Genomic DNA, 26,647 nt, shown 5'->3' with positions numbered 1-26,647 from the left:
TTCCTCAAATTTCCTTGAAATTAGAAGTTGATTCACTGAAATAATTCACATTTAATAACTCAGAATAAGCAAAACTTTGAATCTTTTTTTTTTTCCTTTTTAAACTGACATTTACTGGAACTGGTAAGGCTTGGTTTTTAGGTGGTTGCATTGTGAATGGTAGCTGAAAACATAATAATAATGAAAAAATATAAAATGGTAGTAAAAGTTAATATGCTCTGTGTTGGTAATAGTTAAAAATTACAGAGAAGCTGAATATCTGATTGGGTAAAGAAATATTTTTAAGGCATGAAAACTATTAAATATGAATAATAATGAGTATTCATTACTTATCAGATGTAAATATTTACCTATGCAGTCTATTCACACACACACAAATTATTACTCTGACTTCTTATTGCACTGCCTTGTAACTTTTTCTGAGCACGCATAGTGCTTGAAACCAAAATTATGTCATTCTTCAGGATGATAGGTCTTATAAAGACTTATCTGTCAAGTAGCCAGCTGTGTTATGGCAGGTCATTCAGATTCTTTCTCCTCTCACTTTAATTTACTTTCGGGAGAGAGATGGCTGGCAAAGTTTAAGCAAGCATGATAAAGATTAATTAAAGAGTTGTTCCTCAAATCTCCTTGAAATTAGAGGTTGATTCACTGAAATAATTCACATTTCATAACTCAAAATAAGCAAAACTTTGAATCTTCACAAGAAAATCGAAGAGCTATATGGATTACCCAATTCTTTGCTGTGGAATTGTGCAATTGAATTTAGAATATAATAGAATTTGTGTTTCCAACAAAATCAACTCAGAATAGCTTCATATCATAGAACTAAATTAGACCATAACTCCCTCTAATTAGTTTGGATAGTAATAGTTTTAGTCCTTAATCACGCCTTTTAGTGAAGAATTCTGAAGTCCTTAGAATAAAGTCTATTGTCCTACATCCTTGGGAGTAGTTCTTGCGAGAAGGAAGTTAACAGGTGCATTGACAAAATAGGTGATCTGAAGAGTAGTTTTTAATTGTCTATGAGTTTTTTTAAAAATGGAAAACTTGGAAGTGTGATATTATATAATTGCTCACGTGTGTCCATGAAGCATGTTTAATGGTAGAATATACAAACATGATTAAATATTTCATTTCGTGGTAACTTCATTAAGGTTATGGATATCAGTTGAGACATTATACAATATCTTGGTTAGGGGGAGAAAACCCTTCCCTCAGATGATTTATTTTCTGCATCAACTCTTTCTTTCTCAAGAACCAGTCAACATCTGCAGATCAATTCTTTATTGTGTGCAGAAGCCTTTATCACATGCCTTATTCCAGTCTTTAAATCTGCCTGCCCTTGTTATTTGCTATCTTCTAAACTAGGACAGAGAACGACATTATTAGAATATTACTGAGGTTTGGTTATGACACTTGAGTAGGTAGTGAGGTGATGTGGAGATGGTGAGGCAGTTGGAGCATCCTCTCTGAGACTATGAGTTAAATCAAAGAAAAGAAAAATGGGACAAAAATAATTCTTTGATTTCTGTTCAGTTTAAATCTGAGGATAAACTTATGGAAAACAGGTTGTTTATGTTGAAGTTAAAGGCCTGCATAGACAAATGGCATTTAAATCTCTTCAGTAGTGACATTTTCACTGATGACATTAAGAATACATTGAAAACCTGAAGGGCACATGAGAACAAACTAGAGAAAGGGGAAGGGGATGTAACTGTGGGATATGGTGAAGTGTGTTTTGAGGATGAGAACCGTCTTGGAGGGATGGGGTCAGGAGTTCTCAGAAGAATGGCAACGATCTGTATAGATCTGTGTGGGAAAATTTGTGAAAATTAACCTGGCAAGCTTATTTTTGTTCCTGTCTCCCTAAATGAATTTTATCTCTCAAATATATTTAAACAATAGGTAGCCATGTTGAGAAGGGAGGAGTCCTAGCTGATAGATGCATTTAGTCTTTTTTATTTTGTTGTCACTGAAAAGTTGAATTAAACCACAGATTCTGGGAAAACCTCTTTTGTGTGATTAAAAACATTCATTACATTTGCCTCCTAAAAGCGGCATCCCTAAAGCATGGAAAAATGTTAAAAATGCATTCACATTAAAGTCTGATTATTTTTCTAAATTGGAAAACATGAAAACATGAAAGTGCATTAAAATATTTTTCTAGTGAACAGTCATTAGAGTAATAAGGAGATTGTTGGTGATGAATATCTAGGGGGAACATTAATCATCTTCATCTTTTAGTTTTCTTCTGATAAAAACAATGTTTGAAGATAACCCAATCATAATTGCAATAGAAAGTTTACAGAAAGTAAAATCCATGGACACTGAGGTCAACTTGACCTTTGGGTAATAATTCCAAGCCCCACATTTCATGAAATGAAGAAAAATGAACTTTAAATATATGATTATTTAAACTTTATCCATGAGTTATTGGTCTCACCAGTATCTTCTTATGTCTTTTCTTCTTTTTGTGGCACTTCATTTCTTGGCAGCATCTTTATCTTAAATAATTCAGGCAAAAAAAGGTAAGATGTATTAATAAATGAGCAAAATTTTCCTTAGGTATTGAAAGTTCTAATTAAAGTTTTAATATTGGAAAAGGTTGAAGCTGTTTGCTAAATAAGATTTTAAATGACCCCTAGGCTATTTCTAGCTATCCTACCATGATGCCCTTATCATTAGTAAACATTGCTGGAGTATCATTACATGTTATTATGTGGAGGACAATTTGTTAGTAACAAAGTGGAGTAAGAGGTGGTTGCTGTCTAAACTACAATTCAGCTGGGGACAGATGTTTACTGTTTTATGGTTTACTGTATTTTAGATACTATTGCTTAGTCATATCAGCTAGTAAGAGACAAGCCTCATGAAGTTAATGAATGAACACAGTCAGAAGTTTTTCTCACTCATGTGAAATCCAAAATACCTTCTGTGGTAGGCAGAATAATGACCTTCTCCACAAAGACATCCTAATTCCTAGAACCTGTGAATAGGTTACCTTACATTGCAAAAGAGACTTTGCAGATGTTATTAAGTTAAGGATATCAAGATGGGAAGATTATCCCGAATTATCTGGGTGGGCCCAATCTAATCATAAGGGCTCTGAAAAGAGAAAGAGGGAGGTAGTAGAGACACAGAGGCAGGCCATGACAGAAGCAGAGGGACAGAGAGAGAGACTGGAAAATGTGGCACTGCTGGTGTAGGATGGGGCCATGAGCTAAGGAATGACACTGGCCTCTAGAAGCTAGAAAAGGCAAGGAAACAGATTGTCCCTTTAAGGCTCCAGAAGAAACAGTCTTACCAACATGATTTTAGGACTTCTGATCCCCAGAACTGTAAGATAATAAATTACCTTGTTTGAAACCATTGGGTTTGTGATCATTTGTTATAGCAGTGATAGGAAAGTAGTCCACTTTCCATGTAGTCATTCAGGAAGTCAGTCTCTTTTCATTTTATGACTCTGATACAAGGTGTTCTAATCAGCTGCATTTATTTTAGCCAGTGAGTGGAGAAAGAGAATGAGGGATGGCACATGGGAGATTTTTATGAAGCAGGGAAGTAAATGACAAACACAATTTCTATTCACATTCCATTGTTTTCACCCATCACAAGATGTCATATTGACCAAAATTTTTCTTTAGATGTTATGATCCCCTTATCAGTCTAGTACTTTTCTCTATGTCCTTATGACACCCTGTCCATGCAGCTCATGCTAGACATCTTGTAGTTGTTTTTGATACTTCCCTGTCTCCTGGCTCCTCATACTCAATCTGCCACAGAGCCTCAGTGATTTTGTCTAACAAGTCCATCAGTTTTCTCCATCTCCAATACCACCATTCTCATCAAAATAGCCATATAACTAAACGCAGGATAGTCCTGCAGCCAGGAAGAATATGAAGGCTGTTTGGTGAGCAGGTGAGCAGTTTTTGCTATGGATGCCAAACTGGTTCATCAGCAGATGGTTGTTATCTCTTCCTCATCCCTATTATCTGATAATGACTTTTTAACAACATTACTTAGTTTTCCAAATGCTGAATATTATAAGGTAAGTGTAAGGCATTTTCCTCAGTTTTAAAGGGGAGCTAGAGGTCTGTAGTCATCTCAAGCTCTTTGAGTTGAAGGTAAAAAATAATGAATAAATTAAAAAACCCCTGCAGGACTCTAATGGTAAAATAACTTATATGAGTCAGAAGACCTAGGGCAGAAGTAAGGCTCAAATTCAAGTAATTAAGTTTATAATCTTTATGAAAAATAATTTTTCTTTAATTTCTCAGCACTATTGATGAGTTATGATGAGTTATTGATGAGGGCCATGAGCCTCAGTCTTGCCTACTGCTTTCTCCCGTTTGGAGAAAGTTAACACTGTAGGGAACATGCGAGTAGAGGTTGTGAGCCTTGAAATGTTGCTTTACCACACTTCACCAGATAAGTTCATTCTCAATACCAGATGGTGCTATGTCATTTGTATTTTTACAAATATGCAATTCTTTTATTTTTAAAAGAAGAAATAAGGATCATATTTGTCCCAGAAACATAGAAAAATTGTAACATTTTGCTGCAATCTTGTCTCATGCTCCTATTTCATCTATCATAGCTTATACATATGTTTTAAGATCCTTTATAATACTTTAAAATATCGCTATGTTATAAAGTGTTATGTGTTCACACCAAACATTTAGAAAATATAGGTAAATAAAAAGGCTGCCATACTGAACTAGCAACTGTTAACTATTTCGTGTATATCCTTTCTATAAATATATTGATCTGTCCACAAGAACTCAACTTTGAAAATGTTCTTACCCATATCCAAGAAGCCATATTAAGCACAAGTTTTCTTTAGACTTTATGATCTTCTTATCAAACACTTTTCTCCATTTAATTATAAGACACTCCTGTCTATGTGACTTCTCATGCTAGGTATCTGGTAGTCATTTTTGGTACCTCCCTCTCCCTTTACCACTCACATCCCTTCAGCTCCCGTATTCAATCCATTACCAAGTCTTCTTGATTCCACCTATCTTCATCTACTTTCCATCATCTCCCCTGCTGCCACTTGCATCTCGGCCCATGCACATATGCACATATTTCTTCTTGCTCATCACCATGTTCCTAATAACTACTTGCCTTTTGGATATCATTTTGCCCAGGAAACCTTTTCTTGCTGTTCAGACAGGATTTGGTGTGCCTTTTGTGTGCCATCTTAGTACTGTATGATTAACTCTATTATATGACTTATCACCACAGCATTACAACCTGTTTACTTGTCTGTGTTTCCCATAGTGTTCCTAGTGCTTAGCACAATGCCTTGCCCCTATCAGGTCTTTGATACACATTATTGAATAGATAAATGAGCAGTAGTGGGGAAGTAGGACAAATGGGTAAAGGGATCAGTTTTGGCCTCTGAAAGACATGTTGATTCTTGAGTAAAGGACTGATGTAGAAACAGATGGCTTTAGAACTGGTAGTATTACGGAGAATGAATTGGAAAGAAATGGGATGAATTTAAAGAGTACTGCTGGGACACTGCTGCTGTGATCCACGGGGGAAACCATGAGAACATTGACTCGTTACTGGGCATAGGAAGGTATGAATATGAGGACCTCAACTGAAGAAGCAAAGAGATCTGCTCCTAGTCACTTTGGGGTTAAATAATACACATATGGCTGTCAGGGGTCCACCCCAAATGGCTCAGAGAGGCAATGCTGAAAGGAGGGAATTTGGTTATAGGCTAGAAAGACCTTTTAAGAAAGAAAGGTGGACGATTACTAAAGCTAACCCTTTTCTTTCCTACCATCTGCTCTTCAACAAACCATGTATCTTAGTTGAAATTTTTCTGACTTGGTTACATACACCGTTTTCTCAGGGTGTGTGGCTCTGACTGCCTCCCCGGAGAAACTTGTTTAACTGTGTATCTAATGGGCTGCTCTTCAGTCTTCTTAATTTGCATTTTCAACATGGACAAGTTGCAGAAGTAATACAAGGAACAGCACATAACACAATCTGTTATCCAAAAGTTGGAAAACAGAGCCAGGAGGTTAATTCCTTGTGTTTGCAAATACTGAGAAAACACCACCAAAACAACATGTGTGCTTGTATGTAGGTCACGCGATGGATCATAATTATAAACTTTCATGATAATGCAATTAACAACAATATTTCTGAATAAAAATGAAAAAATATGTCAACATAGAGCCATAATGGGTGAGCAAATATTTGAAGTCTGCTTGCTCTATTCAAGGTATTGTGTATGTGGTGTATGACTGCAAACAAGTATAGAGAATAGTTTTTGCTCTCAGGGACCTTATACTTTGGATGAAGAGATAAGCTGTAGACCTATGAAAGTGTAAGTAAAATATAAGAGTAACTTAATGTATAGATGTGTCATTACTTAGGATTCTGGGTTTTAGATAACAAGTCAACTCAAGAAGTAAGCAACACAGGGGAATTTATTATAAGGAGACAGAAACATATCTCGAGATCAGGAATGCATCAGGGCCTCAGAAAAGGAGCTGGAAAAACTGAAAAGCCACTACCTCCCTTCTCTTCTTCCCTGCTCCTCCATCCTCCCACTGACTCATTTTCTGAGGTGCTCCACAGTCCCCACATTTGCATGTTGCTGACTGGCTACTTGATTCCAATACCAAATTTTTAGTTGAAGAAATATGTTTATGCTATTGGATTAAGCATCCATCCTTAGTCCAACTAACTGTGATTTGCATGGTTATGTAATATAGATAAAGCTGTCAGAGCTCAGAGAAGTCATTTTTAGATAAGGTGCTCATTATAGTATAAATATTTTGTTCAGGGATTATCTGTCCTTATTTTGCCACCAGCAGGCATGGCCAAACCACTGAGATTCCAACTGGGTAACAGTTTCCTGGGTTGTAAAAATAATGAGGACTTGTCATAACAGCTCATGATTTGGTCAGGATTTCTATTTGGTACTGTAGAGATTTTTCTATTTAATGGATGTTTGCACATACATTAATCATAGCTATGCTTGTTTGGAATGCCACTCTGCCATTTGTCATATTAGTGAATAGTCACACTTTCCTTTCTTGTATTTCGAAGTTTCCTTTTGGAGAAAAAAGTCTTTGGGGAATAGCATAGGATATATCTTTGTTAACAAATTAATTTTTAGGTATAATAGAGACAAATCCAGCATTAAGGGAAGGTCTGTAAATGTTCAGTAGAACTCTTAAATTATATTGCTTATGTGCAGTTCTCTCCCAAAATTTTAAATTAGTTTCATTCTCTCTTGTATTCAGTCTATTTCAATGTGCTGAGCTTGGTAGGAAATATCTGAAAAATGTGGTTCTTCCAAAACATCTTCTTATGTGAGGTCCACGAGACAAAGTGTACACGATTGCCATACAGTACAAAGGCAGTGGAATTATACACTACAGTTCAAATTGCTTGAACTGAACTCTGTGAAAAGATCTTGGATGGTCTTCAAAACCGTCTTTGACATAATTTTAATAAGGAGGTAATGTATGCAGTGAAGTGGCATTTGTTCACATTTGCGTTTGAGAAGGATTAATTTGCTAATATTGTTAGTTCCTTCACCTCTTTGCTAGTTTATTACTTAAATAGAGACAGCCAAACTTTTTGTCAGGAGAGCTTGTGAGAAATACTGAGTATGGTTTCATGTAAGGCACTTAGGCTATAGTGATTCTTCATTAGTAAGTTAAAAAGTGGAAGGACAGGATAAAATAAAAATAGAAATCAATCACAATCCAATATAGCATTGAAAATAATCTCAAAGAACTTTTTAGAAACTTCCAATAGAGAATTTAAAAAATAGAAATGGCTGTTATGGCTGTGTGCTCAGAAATAAAGTCAAGCTACTCATTGTCTTTAAATGAAATTTCAAACTATTAAAAAGCTGGTAACGATAGGGTTTGTATGTAATTGCAGAATATAATATAAACAGGATTTAAACATAAAGTCTAGGGATACGATTCCTTTATTGCTGGATAGAATGCTCATTGATTCATTCACTCTTTGGCCTGGCTCAGAATCTGAGTCCAGATGCCTACCAGTGTCATTCTAGGAAAATGAAATAAGTGGAATTATAATGAGGTTTTTAGTGTAAGGGAGTGTTTCTCCTCCACAGTAGCTGTGAGTGAAGCTGATGGGGCTTTCTGGAAAAGTTAGACCTCAATGTACTCTTGTCTCAATGGCAGCAAGTTATTATGGTTCTTTCTGGTGTATGATGTGGATGTCAGTGGTCTGTCATGTGACTTGCCTGCTTTTCATATCAGTGGGGGGGACTCGAAGGAGCTGGAGGAGCAATTGATAATCTCATTTGGTGTCAATGCCTGACGCCTGAGCCACACAAATCAGCATCTTTCTGGTGTCACCGGGCTACTTGCTGATGGCATCCTTCCACTCATTTATAGATAACATTTTTATTAAGAAGCTAGCAGTGGCTCAATATAAGTAGTGTGTGTGTGTGTGTGTGTGTGTGTGTGTGTCTGTGTGTATATATGATGTACATTGATTCAGGGCTTTGACATGGTAATCACAATAAAGCTGTCTTTTTAAATTTTTTTTTGAGACAGGATCTCATTCTGCTGCCTAGGCTGGAGTGCAGTGGCATGATATCAGCTCACTGCAACCTCTGCCTCCTGGGTTCAAGCGATTCTCCCACCGCAGTCTCCTGAGTAGCTGTGACTATGGGCTTGTGCCACCACACCTGGCTAATTTTTGTATTTTTTGGTAGAGATGGGGTTTCACCATGTTGGTCAGGCTGGTCTTGAACTACTGGCCTCAAGTGATCCACCCACCTGGCTCTCAAATGCTGCCATTACAGGTGTGAGCCTCTTTGCATGGCCAACAAAATCTATCTAAAACAAAGGTGACGGGTAAAATAGCGTATAAAATGGCTTCTAAGTCTCAAAATTCATTGTTGTCTAGATTTTAGAGTTTAGATCTGACTCTGCCACTAACTTATCTTGGTTGATTCACACAATGGCTTTGCTTCAGTTGACTACTTTGCAAAAAACAGTTAAATTTGTTTTATTCTTAAAATTTGTGGTATAGTTATGCCTGAATTCACCCCGCATATTATATGTATACTATATACCAGGCATTTTGTTAAATGCTCTGAGTCCAAAAGTATGTTTTAATATAAAGTATCGTCCTTTCTCTCAAAGAGTTTGTGGTCTAGTAGTGAAATTGAGGTGTGTAAAAATGCAGCAATACCTGGCAGACTATTATAAATGTATATATAATAAAATTAAGTTTAGCTATGTGAGTTTATAGTTTTATATAATAAAGCTTCTCCAAAACCATTTTTCTTTGTGCTTTCCTATAATTTTTCTTTATTTAAAAAATCATTTCAACTTTTATTTTAGATTCAGGGGTACATGTGTAGGTTTGTTGCATGGATACATTGCATTATGCTGAGGTTTGGGGCACAAATAATCCCATCACCCAGGTACTGAGCATAGTACCCAATAGTTTTTCAACTCTTGCCCTTTTCCTGTACTCCGGCCTCTAGTAGTCCCCAGTTTCTATTGTTGCCGTCTTTATGTCCATGTGTATCCAATGCTTAGCTCCCACTTATAGGTGAGAACATGTAGTATCCAAATGCTATTTTAAAAAATAGGATTTTCATTTTTCTTGGTTATTTTAGGGGTAAGGTATAAGGAGAGCAGGTGTATGCCTGCATTAGCATGTGTTTATACTAGTGTGCAGGTACAAGCACATTGCTATGTGGACTGCCTTGCAGGATAGTGTGTGTGATGTAGCGGAAGTCAGAAGACCAGCTTGTCATTCTCTCTCTTTATCTTTCTATGTGATCTTGGGCATATCACTAAATGTCTCTGGGTATTGTAAATTGAGGACAGAGATACCTTTCTTGGGCAAAGGATTATTCTCTAGCTGAAATGATTGATCAGAAAAGTATTTTGTAAATGGCAAAGCCACGCATAGTTACTCTCGGGAATTTCACTCTCTCTAATTCTTATGTGAGCATTTAAATATTATGAAGACTAGTTGCTTTATGATGATAAAATGTTATAGTTTGTACAGATTAAAAAGTCATAAGTGTTTTTAATTTCCTTTAATTCTTCATGGCATGTTCATTCTCATTCTTAATGGCTCCACATGCCTGAAAATTAATTTGCATCTTTACCCAATGTCATATTGTGGCTCTTCAATATACTTGCAGAAAGTCTTTGACAAAGTTTCACATGCATAAAGATTTTCCCTATGTGCATATTAATAACCAATTATAAGTATGATCCAAATTTTAAAATCTTTTTACCCCACCTTATTCACAAAGGATAATTATATATAGCTTTCACATAATGACTAAAATACTAGACTCAGTGGAAATAAAATTGATTTTTATAATTGAAAAGACTTACAAATTTTAGATCAAGGACAACTACTCCTTGGTAACCCTTTATTTAGTGCATGGATTTGACTTAGCACAAAGTTCTTCAAAGTGAAATCAAGACACACTCTCCCATGTGCTTAAGTCCCTTTGTTCTGCAGTCTGACTTTTCTGACTTGTGGAAATATAAGACTGAACAGGATGTCAGTAGACTTCTTTCTGGGGCTTTCTTTTAAAATTGTTATATATGTATTATGATTTTAGACTCTATGGAGGAAAAAATAGTTTCTCTCCTTTAAGAAGCTACAGAAACTTAGCAGGAGGTTGGGTTATAAAATGGAGAAGCCAAACATTGACTGGGAGGGGTAATGAGTAGGTGAATTTGGAGCTGGCTGGGAGAGAAGGCTCCCTCTGGGCTTCCGTCTTGAGATGGGGAGATACAATGCAGAGGGCCAAGTGCCCTGCGGAGTCTATCCTACTCTGTGTTACATTAAAGGCATCTTTCCTTAGTAGGAGCCATCAATTTAGGAAAGGAAGTAGTTAAATAGTACCAGTAGGATATGTAAGAAGCGATTCCTACCTTTAATCTGAGAGGCAAACTAGAATAGGTGACAGATAGTTAACCAAGAAGTCAGGAATTGTTCAGGAGCAACTTTATAGGGTAAAACAAATATATTATTCTTTTTTTTTGTTTTGATGGATTCTCACTCTGTCGTCAGGCTGGAGTGCAGTGGTGCAATCTCAGCTCACTGCAAACTCTGCCTCCCGGGTTCAAGTGATTCTCCTGCCTCAGCCTCCCAAATAGCTGGGACTACAGGCATGCGCCACCACGCACAGCTAATTTTCGTATTTGTAGTAGAGACAGGGTTTCACCATGTTGGCCAGGATGGTCTCGATCTCTTGACCTTGTGATCCGCCCGCCTTGGCCTCCCAAAGTGCTGGGATTACAGGTGTGAGCCACCATGCACAGCCAATATTATTCTTTTAAGGGAGAAGTTTTCAAACCTTGTCAGCAGTAAATTCCTTTCTTCTAAGTAAAATTTTACATGACTCCTCACATTTCCTCTGCACCCCTTTCATTTATGAAATACATAAAAATAGAGCTGCTGCAATTTGAAGCAGGCATGAGGTCCAAGCCTCATGTGATTGTCATTCCTACTATGACCCCTCAAGTAACCTCATGGAGCATGAGGTTCCACAGACCACAGGTTGAAAACCACTATTTCCGGTTATAAAGGAAAACAAATGCTTAGACTGACATAGCCATATTAGCTTAGTGATAAATATATTTGCATGTTGGTGTTGGCTTTTCTTGTAAATTTTCCCTAGTATCAGAATTCTGCTTTTTAATAAAAGTTGAATGTTAATCAAAGTGTCTGATTATTAGAATGGGAAACAGTGTAGAATATCTGGATAAGTTCATCTGATATTATCTACATCTAAGGAAATCCTGATGATTTGTTTAAATTAGGCACACATGAATCATTGGCAGCAGCCATACAAATTTTAGAAATAGTGTCTTAGAGTACTTGGTATTTAATAGCCCAGCCTTGCAACATCTAATACATCTTTTGTCCACCCAGCCTTTAGTACAAAATCTTGCACATTGTAGTTATGCCACGAATGATTTCTTTTTAAAAGATTTTATTTTATTGTGGCTAGAACACTTAACACGAGATCTACTGTCAATAAATTTCTGTATACAAAACTGTATTGTTGACTATAGGTACAATGATATTCTGCAGATTCCTAGAGCTTATTTGTCTTGCTCGATGGAAACTTTATGCCTGTTGATTAGTAATTTCACATTGTTCCCCCTTCTAGCCCCTGGCAACCACCGTTCTCCTTTTTGATTCTATGAATTTGACTATTTTAGTTACTTCATAAGTGGAATCATGCAGTGTTTGCCTTTCTGTGACTGGCTTATTTCACTTCACATAATGTCCTCAAGGTTCATCCATGTTGTCACATATTGCAGAGTTTCCTGCTTTTTAAAGGCTGAATGATATTCCATTATATCTACGTATCATATTTCTTTATCAACTCATTCATCTGTCCATAAACATTTAGGTTATTTTCATCTCCTGGCTCTTATGAATAGTGCTGCAATAAATGTGATAGTGCCAATATCTCTTTGGGATTCTGATTTAAATTATTTTGAATAAATGCCCAGAAGTAAAATTGCTGGATAATATTATAATTCTATTTTTAATTTTTTGAGGAAACACTATACTGTTTTCCATAGTGGCTGCACCACTTTGCACTCTCACTAACGGCGTGCTAAATGTTCCAATTTCTCCACATCCTTGCCATATTTGTTGTCTTTTATTTTTTTGATAGTAGTCATCCTAACAGGTGTAATATCTCTTTGTGGTTTTGATATGCATTTCCCTGATGACTAGTGATGTCAAGCATTTTTTTCATACACCTATTGGCCATTTGTATATCTTCTTTGGAGAAATGTCTATTCAATTCCCTAGCCCCTGTTTACATTGGATTATTAGGTTTTTATTTTTTCTATTGAGTTGTAGAAGTTCCTTGTACATTTTGGATTGTATACCCTCATTGGATATATAGTTTGCAAATATTTTCTCATATTCTATAGTTTGTCTTTTCACACTGTTCATTGCTTCCTTTGTTGTGCAAAAACTTTTAGTTTGATGTAGTCTCACTTATTTATATTGGTTTTTGTCACCAGTGCTTTTGATGTCATATCCATGAAATCATTACTAAGATCAATATCATGAAGCTTTACTTCTATGTTTTCTTCTAGAAGTTGTACATTTTCAGGTTTTAGTTTAAAATTTTTAATCTATTTTGAGTTGATTTTTTGCGTGGTATAAGAGTCCACTTTTATTTATTTATTTATTTATTTATTTATTTATTTATTTAGACGTAGTCTCACTATTTTGCTTAGGCTGGAGTGCAGTGGTGCAATCTCAGCTCATTGCAACCTCTGCCTCCTGGGTTCAAGTGATTCTCCTGCCTCTGCCTCCAGAGTAGCTGGGATTACAGGCAGGCACCACCATGTCCAGCTAAGTTTTGTATTTTTAGTAGAGATGAGGTTTCACCATATTGGCCAGGATGGTCTTGAACTCCTGGCATCAAGTGATCCACCTGCCTTGGCCTCCAAAAGGGCCGGGATTACAGGCCTGAGCCACCGCGCCCAGCCTCACTTTTATTCTTTTGAATGTGGATATCCAGTTTTCCTAAAACCATTTGTTGAAGAGGTTGTCCTTTCCCCATTGTATATTCTTGGCACTTTTGCCAAAGATCAGTTGACCTTATATGTGTGGATTTATTTCTGGGCTCTCTGTTCTGTTATATTGGTCAATATGTCTGTGTTTATGCCAGTACCATGACGTTTAGATTACTCTAGCTTTGTGATATTTTTCTGAAATCAGGAAGTACGATGCCTCCAACTTTGTTCTTTTTTCCTCAAGATTAATTTGACTATTTGTGGTCTTTTGTGGTTCCAATATAAATTTTAGAATTGCTTTTTCTGTTTCTCTACAAAATGCCAAGGGATTTTGATAGGGATTTCATTGAATCTGTAGATCACTTTAAATAGTACAAACATTTTAACAATATGAAGTCTTTAACTCTATTAACATCAAACGTCTTTCCATTTGTTTATGTCGTGTTTAATTTCTTTTATCAGTGTTTTTTAGTTTTCATTATATAAGTCGTTCCCCCCCTTAGTTAAATTTATTCTTAAGCATTTTATTTTTTTGTTGCTATTTTAAATATGATTGTTTTCTCAATTTCTGTTTTAGGATAGTTTGTTTTTAGTGTATAGAAATGCAACTGATTTTTATATGTTGTATTTCTATCCTGCAACTTTACTGAATTTTTTATTCTAACAGTTTTTAAATTGAGTCTAGAATTTTTTATATATAAGATCATATAATCTGTAAACAGGGACAATTTTACTTCTTCCTTTCTAATTTGGATGCCTTTTATTTTTTTCTCATGCCTACCTGCTCTGGTGAGAACTTTTAGTACCATGTTGAATAAAAGTGGTGAGAATGGGCATTTTTCCTGAGCTTAGAGAAAAAGCTTTTAGTTTTTTACCATTGAGTATGATGTTAACTGTGGGATTTTTATGTAAGATCTTTATTATGTTGAGGTACTTTTCTTATATTCTTAATTTGTTGAGAGTTTCTATCATGAAAGGGTGTTGAATTTCATCAAATGTTTTTTCTACATTGATTGAGATGATCATGTGATTTTTATTCTTTCTTCTGTTAATGCAGTGTATCACCTTAATTGATTTTCATATGTTGAACCATCCTTTCATCCCAGGGATAAATTCCACTTGGTCATGGTGTATGATCCTTTTAATGTGCTGTTGGATTCAGTTTGCTAGTATTTTGTTTAGGATTTTTGCATCTATATTCATCAAGGATATTGGCTTACAGTTTTCTTTTGTCATAGTGTCTGCTGTTCTTTGGTATCAGGGTAATGTCGGCCTCATAAAATGAGTTTAGAAATGTTCCCCCTTCCTTAATGGTCAGAAGGATTGATGTTAATTCTTTTTTAAATGTTTGTTAGAATTCACCAGTGAAGCCATCTGGTCTCGAGGTTTTCTTTGTTGGGAGGTTTTTGATTACTGATTCAATCTCCATATTAGTTATAGGTCTTTTCAGGCTTTCCAATTCTTCATGATTTAGTCTTGACAGCTTGTGTTTCTAGGAATTTATCCATTTTTCTAGATTATCCATTTCTTTGGTGTATAATTATTCACAGTATTCTCATATAATCCTTTTTATTTTGTAGCATCACCTGGAAAGCCTCTTTCGTTTCTGATTTTATCTATTTGGATTCCTCTCCTTTTTTAAGTTAGTCTAGCTAAGAGTTTATCAATTTTGATTATCTTTAAAAAAACTCAGTTTCTTATTTTGTCTATTTTTAATTTCTTGTGTTTTCTGCTCTAGTTTAAAAATTTTCTTAATTTCCTAACTTGGACTTAATTTGCTCTTTTTAAAATTCCTTGCAGTGTTAAGTTAGGTTGTTTATTTGAGATCTTTCTTTTTTTAAATGTAGGTGTTTATTGTGCTAAATTTCCCACTTAGTATTGCTTTTGCTGCACCAAGTACTTTTTTCGTGACTTATATCACAATAGATCTATTCTGGAGAAAGATCCACGTTAGAAGAATGTGTATTCTGCTGCCATTGGGTAGAATATTCTGTATACACCTCTTAGGTACATTTTGCCTATAATGTAATTCAAGCTCTCGTTTCCTTGTTGATATTCTATTTGGATGTTCTGTTCATTATTGAAAGTGAGGTATTGAAGTATTCTATTATTATCATATTGCTATTTCTCCCTCCAGTTTTCTCAATGTTTGCCTTATATATTTAGGTACTATGATGTTGAGTGCATATATTTATAATTATTATGCCTTCCTGGTGGATTGACCTTTTTATCTTTATACAGTGCCCTTCTTTGTCTTTTGTGACAGTTTTTGACTTAAAGTGTATTTTGTGTGTTGTAAGTATAGCCACCCCTGCTCTCTTTTAGTAACCATCGCATGAAATATCTTTTTTTCATTGCTTCACTTTCAGCATGTGTATGTCCTTAAATATAAAGTGAGTTTCTTGTAGACAGCATATAATTGGGTCTTATTTTTTAAATCTATTCAACCATTCTATTTTTTTTGATTGGGGAGTTCAATCCATTCACATGTAAAGTAATTATAGGAAAGGATTTGCTATAGCCACTTTGTTAGTTGTTTTCTGTTATGTAGTGTTTTCTTTATCAAATTTTTAAAATGAGTCTCTGAAGGGACTGATTAATGTTTTAAATGTATAGTATGCTAAGTCAGGGGAGGCAGTATTTGTGAATTATCTCAACTACATGCATTTGCTCCTGTTTCCCATCTGGAAATTTCAAATAGGTTGGTAAGCTTATTTGCCTATTTAAATTGATTGGGTTGGAGTGCAATGGACAGAAGAAGAGGCAGTATCATGAGAGAAGCCACAGAGAGAAGAAATATGGTGTTTGAGGTGTAAGGTCTCCCTTTATTATTATTGGGTGTTGCTAGCAAAACCAATCCTCTGCCCGCCTCAGAGCAAGATAGGATGTTGTGCTGAGTTTAGTATCAGAGAATTGGATGCTATGCTGTCCAAAGTCAAACAGCGTATGAGGTAGGTAACCTAATAAGGTTATATAAGTCTATAAATGTGAGTGATTGGAACTGGAGGTCTTGAAATAAAATTTTCAAGGTTTGAAAGTATAGAACCTTAATTTTATCTTTCAATAACAATGGATATTACTTGTAAGTAACATTTAATATACTAACCTTGAAATAAAATCTCTATATAAATAAAAATGTTTAATCACTGTTAATTTTTTTCCTGTGGAATATTCTAATCTGTATTACGTTATTGATAAACATAGGCAATTTTAATGAAAATAATTTTTTTTTTGAGATAGAGTCTAGCTCTGTTTTCCAGGCTGGAGTACAGTGGTGTGATCTTGGCTCACTGCAACCTCTGCCTCCTGAGTTCAAGTGGAGGCTGACCTGCCTCAGCCTCCCAAGTAGCTGGGATTACAGGTGCCTGCCACCACGCCCAGCTAATTTTTGTATTTTTAGTAGAGATGGGGTTTCACTGTGTTGGCCAGATTTGTCTCAAATTCCTGACCTCGTGATCCGCCCACTTCAGCCTCCCAAAGTGCTGGGATTACAAGTGTGAGCCACCATGCCCGGCCTAAAAAAAATTCTTAATTTTAGGATATTAACTACTTGAATTTTTTTGTGTGATCATTTCAGATAGATTTCAAGAAGTTACATAGTGGAGTTTTGTTAATTACCTTTCTTAATAGAAGAAAAAAACCCTGATAAGTAATATCCATTCTATTCATTGCAGAAAATGAAACAGTTGGTGATGTTTCAGAGAACCCAACTCAAACTGACTTGAACAAGAGGTAGGCTGGAATTTGGAGGTGGTTTTATCTAATGTTGGTTTAATCTAGGGGTGGTCTGAATACCCAGTGATATCACCAAGTATGAGTTTTTTCCTATCTCTTTATTGCCTCCTGTGATACTGTTTTTTCTCTTCTAACCATCAAACAAAAGTCCTGAGACTCACTCTCCTTGGATTGACTTAGATAGCATGCCAAGAGAGTGTTATATACTGCATTGACTTGTTTAGGCTTGGGTTCCTTCACCATCCCTGAATCAATAACTGTGGCAGAGCTTGTAATTTTGCTGACATGCTTAAGCCAATCCCCTAAGTACATGATTGGAAATTAGGGATTCTGTTAAGAGTGAGAAATGGGATTGAATATTACTATAGCTATAAAAATTGTCTTTTTGAGTGGATAAGTATTTATGTTAATTATTACTTGAAAAGATTGTTCTTATTTTTATCGATAATTATAATCCTATGTAGCAATTTATGAAGAATCAGGGCTAAGTATTATTAAAAAAAGATAATGAGCCAGGTGTGGTGGCTCATGCCAGTAATCCCAGCAATTTGGGAGGCCAAGGGAGGAAGTTTACTTGAGCCCAGGAGTTTGAGATTAGGCTGCGCAATATAGCAAGATCCTGTCTCTAAAAAAAAAAAAAAAAAAAAAAAAAAAAAAGAAATTAGCCGGTTTTGGAGGTGCACCTGCAGTCCCTGCTACTTGTCGGGGCTGAGGTGGGAGGATTGCTTGAGCCTGGGAGGTTGAGACTATAGTGAACTGTGATTGCACCACTGCACTCCAGCCTGGGCAACAGAGCTACACCTTGTCTTAAAAAAAAGATAATGTATTCTGGTACAGTTTGCTTGAGTTACCTGATTTATTACAAATACTCCCACATTCTAATATATACAAATAGAAATATCTAGCAATCTAGTACATTAGGAGTAGGTTTGGGATATCTGTTAAAATAATCGATGAGACTTTTTATGCAATAAGAACAATTCTAAATTTATTTAAAAGTGAAATTCAAGGAGCATGCTGAGGATGCTATATTTCTGGTTGACGTTTGTGTCTTTCTATTTTTTCTCTCAATTAGTTGAAATTTTTGTACCAATTATACATAATAGATTTGAAAAACTCTCTCCTAATATTCCTGGATTTTTTAGCTTGCTGCAAATCCAAGTTTGATACTTTCAAGGTTAAAAGAGATTTTCCTAATGTTTAGCCCCTTGGTTTTGTGTATTTTCCAGAAAAGGCAGATAAAGACATTAATCACTAAAAATGATGACCTTGATCTCCAGCCCATACCTCCTTTCTGAACACCAGCAATCTATATCATACTGCTGATTGCATATCTTAACCTGTATTTTCTATCTTAAACTCCACATGTATAAAACTTAATATCTCCTTCTCCCAAATGTCTTATTTCCAACCTTTTCCTGACTTGATCAAAGGCACCATCATTCACCTGGTCCCCCAGTTAGAAGATCAGGAGTTGCCCTGCATTGCTTTCTCTCTCTTGTCTTTTAAATCCCTTACAGTGTGTCATCAGTTCATACCTTCTACCTTCTTAGCATCTCTCCTCTTGATTCTCTTCTGTCTACCACCATCACTACTGCTTTTATTCACGCCGTTCTCATATGTTCTCTGGATTCTGGGAAAAGTCTCCTAACTAGCTCTCTTGTTTCCATTCTGACATCTGTTCAATAAGCCTTTCACATATTTGCAAGAACACTTAAAAAAAGTACAAAATGTATTAGGCTATTCTGCTGTTTAACCTTTCAATGGCTCTCCACTGCCCTCAGGATAAAGCTGATCCATGAAAACATGAATCCTTGAAAACATGCTCTATTGAGTCTTCCTTGCACTGGTTTCTGATGAACTATCCAATGAACCATTTACTCAGTATTCTTTTTTTTTTTTTTAAATTTGAGACATATTCTCGCTCTGTTGCCCAAGCTGGAGTGTGATCTCAGCTCACTACAACCTCCACTTCCCGGGTTCAAACGATTCTCCTGCCTCAGCCTCTTGAGTAGCTGGGATACAGGCGCATGCCACCACACCTGGCTAATTTTTTTGTATTTCTTTTTAGTAGAGTCGAACTCCTGACCTCAGGTGATCTGCCTGCCTCAGCCTCCCAAAGTGCTGGAATTTCAGGCGTGAGCCACTGTGCCTGGCCTCTGTATTCCTTTTTACGTTAGATTTAAACTGTGGAATTTCTTTTGGTTTCCTACTTCTGCCAGGCTATTTCTTACCTCTATGACTTTGGTTGTGCTTTCTCTCTGCTTGGAATGTCCTTTGCTCAGTTTCTATTTATTAAACACCTACCAGTCTTTCAAGAGAGTGTATGTTATAATGTTTGAGAGCTTACATTTTGGAGGCAGATGGACCTGGGGTTGAGTCCTGGATCCCAAATTACTAACTATATAGCTTTGGTCAAGTCACATAACCTCCTTGAACCTCAATTTTCTTATCTATAAACTTGGGATAATAATATCTACTTCAAATGGTTGTTGTGAGGATTCAATTAAATGAACTAATGAACTTGAAGTGCTTAATACCATGCTTGACACATTCTAATTATTCAATAAATTGTAACTTCTTTGACTCAATTCAACTTTATTTATCAAAACCTTTTTGAACCCCTTCCCCTCAATTGGGACAAATCATTCTGCTTCAGTTATTGAGCTATGATGTCTCTCAGCTCCAAACCCATATCCTTGTATAGCTTGCTCTGTGGTGCTGGGGCTGGCACTCTGTAAATCAGATCTCTGCCTGGCCATTTCTCTCATCTTAGGCTCTCTCAGCAGGGGTTCCAGGGAGACTGCACAGCTGGTGGAGGGAAAATGCACTTCCTTTTTTCCGTTGAGTTTATGTGTACTTCCTAATTTTGTCAGGATCTGCCTTGCCTCACTTCACCCTGGCAGTGGCAGTTGAATCCAAGAGCAGCAATCAAATGCACTTTGCAGTTCAGGTTCTCTAACACTGGCAGAATCAGACACATTAGGTGAGCAGTGCCCCTTCTTAGATGTCTGGGTCTCAGGCGTATGAGTCACCTCCTCTAAACCTTCTAAATTTTAATAATCCCAACCTTTCACTTTGTTTTCCCAATTGTAGGGGTAGAAGAGGCTTTCTGCAGGTGATATCTCTGTGATACCTTAGAGTTCTCTCTTTGCCTTTTCATCTACTCAATATAACTATCTACACTAAATTTTTTTCTATTAAAAGTAATTAGTGTGACCTCTATGCCCTAACCAGACTCTGACAGACACTGACACCTATTCCGTCCTTTGTTTCCTTACTGGGATTTGTTTTTGTGTCCCAAGTGCCTTTGTAATAAACTGATGCACAGTAAGAGTCCATAAATAGAGCTACCTGATGAACATCTCTACCTGAATAGCTCCCTTTAGGTCCCATACTCAGTATTTCTCCATCTGCGCTCATCGTTTGCAGTCATCACTACAAATGCAGTTTCTTCTTTCTCCATATTGGTCAGTGTCATCAGTGTGTGCTTTCGAAGGAATTGAATACAGTGTTCTAAACTTGATCTTTACAGCGATTGAACAATGTGAACAAATGAAAATTACTAACATCTTTGTACTTCAAGTTGCTATAATAACAGACAAATTTTGGTTTTAAAAATGTATTAATGTAATTCATTTAAAAATCTATATCTCCAAAAGTTAATAACCAGAAGAGACACACTTGAATAGGAGGGAGAAACCCAGATCCTATTCCTCTTATTTCAAACTAATTTTTACAACTCCATTAGTCTTTCACTTTCTCCATCAATAAAATGGAGTTAAAATATGTATGTATGTCAGAGATATGTATGCATCCTATGTATGTCAGAGACATTTAATATATACATAAACATACACATTAGGTAACATATCTGCAAGTTATTAGGATTTAATAAAATTTAGAATTAATCATTATGCTGAAGTTAAACTATTTTAAAGTCTATCTCCTCCCTCCCAATCTAATGATAACAGATGGATTCAAAGTAACATCTATAAAAGAAGCTTAAGCTATGTTTAACTTAACATAAAAAATTCATTGAGTTTCACCAAATAAATAATATTGACTAAAAGTTGGGAGAGTTTTGATTACATGGTTATTAAATCATTATAAAACATAATGTGGTTTTTGAGAAGCAATTCCTGACTTGTATAACTGTTTTTAAAAAAGGAATCTTTGATATAAAAAATGATGAAGCAACTCAATTTTACTGGCATAGAATTTGGGGAAGAGTATTAAGAATTATTTTATTTCTAATATTGAATGTATGAGAGAGCAGATCAAGTAATAAATTTTAAATTATTTCAGTTTTCATGCTGGATCAATGTTTGCTATTGCTGAATTTTTTCTGGAGTAATTTTGGTTTTGAGAAAATTAGAATTGATTTATTTGTAAGTAGAATTCTGAATAGAAACTATAAGCCATGCTGAATAACAAACTCAAATATAGATTTCTTGTCCCGATATTTAAAAGACATCACTTTTGAAGAAAAAAGTGAACTAGGGTTAACCCAATTTCTTACCTTGGCGAATATGAATGATATCTATAGTACAGAAAAAAAAAGGTGATACTCATATGAGCCTATATAGAATCAAAGAATTCAATAAAATGCCAGATCATTCTACTTTTTAGGTATACTTGGAAACTGAAATATCATCAAAAGAATTGAATACTGCATGCAGTGAGCCAGTTATTCCTATTGGAGAAACAAATAACTGTATAAATATCTTCTTTGAGCAAGTGGGCAGTTGAATTTCAATGATTTAAAATAGCTTTATTTTCAATTTTAAAATGTCATGCAGTAAAGTTTTAAGGAAACCCTACAAAAATACATTTATAGCAGACTCAAGCAGTTACTTTCAGATAATGAGATGTTTGGTTCTCTCTATTGTGGTTTTTCAGTGTAGACTTCATCTGAATTATCACTTCTTGGCCTGTTGAGATTTTCAATGTACGAGGATTTCTAAGGATATTATTTCCCCCATAACATATTAGCTATGAAGAAATGCCAGTCATCTGAACAATATTTGAAATTTACTGTGCTCTGGAAACTGTCTTAGGTCCTAGGATGGAGTTGGGGTTAGAAGACAGGGGAGGAAATAAAAAAAAGAATAAGATGCCCTGGTCCAGTAGCATTTGCAGTGATGCGTGGGCACTCTGGGATTTCATGGCTCATCATGGTTCTCAGGGCAAAGGTGAAAAAACTGAGTCAATTAGAAGTTTATTATTTTCCATGTTGTCACATTCTGGCCATATTCCTATTGATTTTGTAGTAGACCATTAGAGTATGCCGAGAGCCATACCTTGCCACTTATTCATATAATTCATATTCATTATAACATGCCAGTAGTAAAGAGAAGAATCCCAGTTTCCACTCCCCTTTTTGAATAAACCTTATGGAAACAATTAATGTCATTCATGGGATCTGGGACCTGGTAGATGCTGAGCATGTTTCACCACTTAGAGAAGTGTACAGGAAACCTGAGGTCATTTCAGGATAGCATGGCTAGTTGGGTCAGAAGGGATTCTAGCCTGTCCCATTTCTGCTGAAAGAGTGAAGTTGGTCTTTATTTCACTTGTCTTATATACCTATGCTTAAAAATAAAATAAGGAAACCAGAAGCCAATATTTGACTTTAGTATAAATCCCTTAGGGAACCATTCACTCATTCAGTCATTTCAACACGATCAAGTTCTGAAGCATCTCATGTAGTGGAAAACAAACTGGTACCAGACACTGGGGACATAATGATGAAAAGACTTGGCCCCTGTGTTAGTTTGAGCTTCTATAACAAAGTACCATAGAATGGGTGGCCTATAAACAACAAGAAATTTATTTTTCACAGTTCTGAAGGCTGGAAGTCTGAGATCAGGGTGCCAAGACGGTCCCCTTCTGGTGAAGGCCCTCTTCCAGGTTGCAGACTGCCATCTTTTTGTTGTATTCTCATGTAGCAGAAAGAGCATGGAGACCTCTATAGGGTTCCTTTTATAAGGCTGATCCCATTCAGGAGAGCTCCACCTACATGACCTATTTATGCCCCAAAGACCCCACCTCCTAATACCATCACTTTGGGGGTTAGGATTTCAATATATGAATTTTTTTGGGGAGAGGGCACAAACCTTCAGTTTATAACAGTCCCTACCCTGTAACAGGAATACATTTGCAATGTGGTAAGTGCCTATTGTAGAATGACTTCTGGTCAAGTTTTTTCTAAGGGGTTACTAATTTATTAGTAATTTATTAAAAGTAATGGCAAAAACCACAATTACTTCTGCACCAACCTAAATATTTATGTATTTTGACCAATTTCAGCAGTCTTTCCACCAGCTCCTTGACAAAGGCATGAAACAACTGATTGACTTGGTGTTGTGGACAGATCCACCTCTTGTTTGCCCATCCTGATCAGGACTATAAACTTTCAGGGTCAGCTGGGGCCTTTTCTCTCACAGAATGAAAGCAGCTGAGAGGAGGCTGACTTGGCTGTGTAATCTCTGTCCCACACCTTGAAAATTCCAATGTAGGGGTGTTAGAGGAGAAAAGATTAGAGGTGTTCTGAATGGGAGAGATTTAATGTCTCTGTGACTGGGACTCAGACTTCACAGAGATCCCCATTCCCCTCCTCCATGCACACACTCATAAACTCCTCACTGGTCCTCTAACTTCAAGGCTGTTGTTAACACTGAGCTGCAGGGTAGAATGGAGTGGGCTTATCTCCTATTGATTCATTTCTTTCTAATTGCTTGAGGAGGTAGAGTTTGGTTATCAAAACTTTATTTTTGTCAAGTTTTGCTCATCAGTTCAGTGTTCTCTCATCAGATTTTTAGGACATCAGCATATTGTTTCTTTCAAACAAGGGTATTAATGGTATATAAGAAAATCCCCCAAACATAGACTGATACCTTTTCTTTCCGCACCTCCAAGGTAAGATCATTACCAAAAGAGTTTTAAAGAAATGTCTTAGCTCTTGTTAAAAGAGACTACAGAGGCTGAGGCAGGTGGATCATGAGGTCAGTAGTTCAAGACCCAGCCTGGCCAAAATGGTGAAACCCTGTCTCTACTAAAGATACGAAAATTAGCTGGGCGTGGTGGTGGGAACCTGTAATCCCAGCTACTCGGGAGGCTGAGAAAGAGAATTGCTTGAACCCGGGAGGCTGAAGTTGCAGTGAGCTGGGATTGTTCCACTGCATTCCAGCCTAGGCGACAGAGGGAGACTCTCAAAAAAAAGAAAAAAGACTACAACACAACTCCATTACAACAGTAATGAGAGACTATCGCGGAATGTACACCTTTATTAGAGTCCTTATTTCTCAATATTTTAGTAATCTATTTACCTTTTTCTCTATAGACTCTAAGTATCATGAGGCTAGAGACTATGTCCTCTATCTGTGTATTCCCAGTACCTGGCACAGTGCCTAGCCCATGATAGTTGGGCTCAGTAAATATTTGGTGAGCCAATATATGTTCGGTGAAGGAGTGGATATTTAAAAAAATTATCTAGTTATAATGGAATTTCACTGTATAATTTTTGTTTGATGTCCAATTTCAAAGAAGTCATTTTTTTGTCTGAAAGAGCTGATAATGTCATTTTAAAAATCTTTTGATTAAATAAAATGTACCAGCATTTTCTTTCAAATATATCAGCTTATTATTCTGTAGCTCAGTTATCTCTCTCTAGGTATTGAGGAGATGTGAACTCTAAGGGACAAAAGCTCTACATAATTTGAAGGTATTATACTCAAGGCAAAGTTTCTTTTCAGGTAAAAATTACACTGCAGTTTTTCAATCAAGTGAAAGTTAACATTAACATTCACAGGAGAGTTTTTGTGCCCATCACACATCTTTTACTTCCATGACATTAAAAAAATTAAATAGATAGTGCTCCCTCTCAATGAATAATCCAGAAAAAGAAGTAATGAGGCATACATGAAAACCAGTTAATACAACCATGATCTTCTCAACATAATGGTCTGAGGTGATTTATTTGTGTTGACAGTGTTTACTCAACTATAACCTACTTATAAACAGAGTAGTGAGTCATCACTACCAATGATGAGCTTACTTAGGGAATTTTATTTTATTTAAATGGCCAGTACTTACTATATTTTGAGATGGTTGCTCAGAAGAGTGGGAAGAATTTGTTCACTGTAAAAGAATAAATTTTTCAGATAATTATAAGGGAAAAATAAAGTTAATTGAATTATATAGTTGGTATTTAATGTCATAGATGAATTTTTATGTGTAAGCAATCATTATATATGAAAGTTAGTCCCTAGCAATAAAATTGTACTCATGTAAAATTTTTTCCTTGGTTTAAATATAGTCTTTCCTTTCCATTTGAGATATTCAGAGGCTATACTTCATAAACATCAATATCTTTCCAAAGTGATTGGTCATTTTCTTCTCTAGGCTCAGCAGAAAATTAGGAAATACGTAACTCATTCAATAACTAAGGATAAAAACTTCCATGCATTTTAGACTTATTTCTTGGCTATTATGTCTGCATCTCTTATCTAATGGATGGATATCCCAGAAATGAGTTGCCTCCACTCTGGCTTGGTCAATTATACTTAGATGGAGAAGAGTTGAAGGGAAGGGTGGGAACCCTAGCTCTGTTCTGTTTTCCCCTCTGAACTACAAAGGATCCTATTAATATCTATAGCTATTGAGCTAACATGTAAAGTCTTGCCTACTATTTCTTTTTCAGGGCATGGTAGATACTACTGAGATAAAAATAATTTTCTAAGAAACCAGGATTTTAATAAAAATGTAAATTATTTTAACATTAGTACTGAAGTTCAGGTTAATAAGTATGGCAGTGATTGATAAAAATCTTATGTACTGGCAAAAACGTTAGAGGTGGAAAAAGTTTTCAACCTGTCTGAGAGACATAAATGTATTATTACTTGAAAATCATTTCATTAAAGGTAAATATTTGTTTTACCCTCTAGATTCATACTTAATATAAAGTCAAAGTTGAAAATAAGGTAATTAGTCTTAGTGAAATTTTTGTCTCTGCTCCCAGAAAGGTCAACTAAATTTTCCCAGATGTTACAATTAATTTTCATTATTGCTTTTAGCTTATCTTTATTTCTAGTTCCCCATTTTTTTTTCTTATCTTTTCCTGTTCTATCAGAACGAATTCTATTTCTCACATTAGGACCAAGGAAGGATTGGAATTACTTACAATGGAAAAGTTTTACTTGAACTTCATTCTCTCTTCCTCCTTTTGTTTGGACATCTCCACTTTGTGCTTGTTTAAAACCTTTCTCAGGCTATTTTTACTGTTATTTTTTACACTGAGCTGTTTGGAAAAATGAAGTGTCAGCCCTGAGTTACATATTACCCTTGTGGCCTTCAAACTC

At 35.9% G+C, this 26,647-nt stretch overlaps 2 long non-coding RNA genes across 2 annotated transcripts in view; one reads left to right on the top strand and one right to left on the bottom strand.

The window, feature by feature from the left end:
• LINC00639 (long intergenic non-protein coding RNA 639) overlaps positions 1–26,647 on the top strand; it is a 167,544-nt gene that overhangs the window by 8,860 nt on the left and 132,037 nt on the right. The window contains exon 2 of the long non-coding RNA NR_039982.1: positions 17,225–17,282. This is a non-coding gene — a long non-coding RNA (long intergenic non-protein coding RNA 639). The remainder of the gene's footprint in view (positions 1–17,224; positions 17,283–26,647) is intronic.
• Positions 1–26,647, bottom strand: part of LOC105370457 (uncharacterized) — a 40,472-nt gene that overhangs the window by 11,179 nt on the left and 2,646 nt on the right. The window contains exons 2-3 of the long non-coding RNA NR_135256.1: positions 25,383–25,427; positions 2,447–2,507 (exon numbers count right to left, since the gene is read on the bottom strand). This is a non-coding gene — a long non-coding RNA (uncharacterized LOC105370457). The remainder of the gene's footprint in view (positions 1–2,446; positions 2,508–25,382; positions 25,428–26,647) is intronic.

This window comes from Homo sapiens, chromosome 14 (assembly GCF_000001405.40).
Source record: "Homo sapiens chromosome 14, GRCh38.p14 Primary Assembly".
Lineage (NCBI taxonomy): Eukaryota > Metazoa > Chordata > Mammalia > Primates > Hominidae > Homo > Homo sapiens.
The sequence above is the reverse complement of the archived record's forward strand: the minus strand, read 5'-3'. Positions and strand labels throughout refer to the sequence as shown.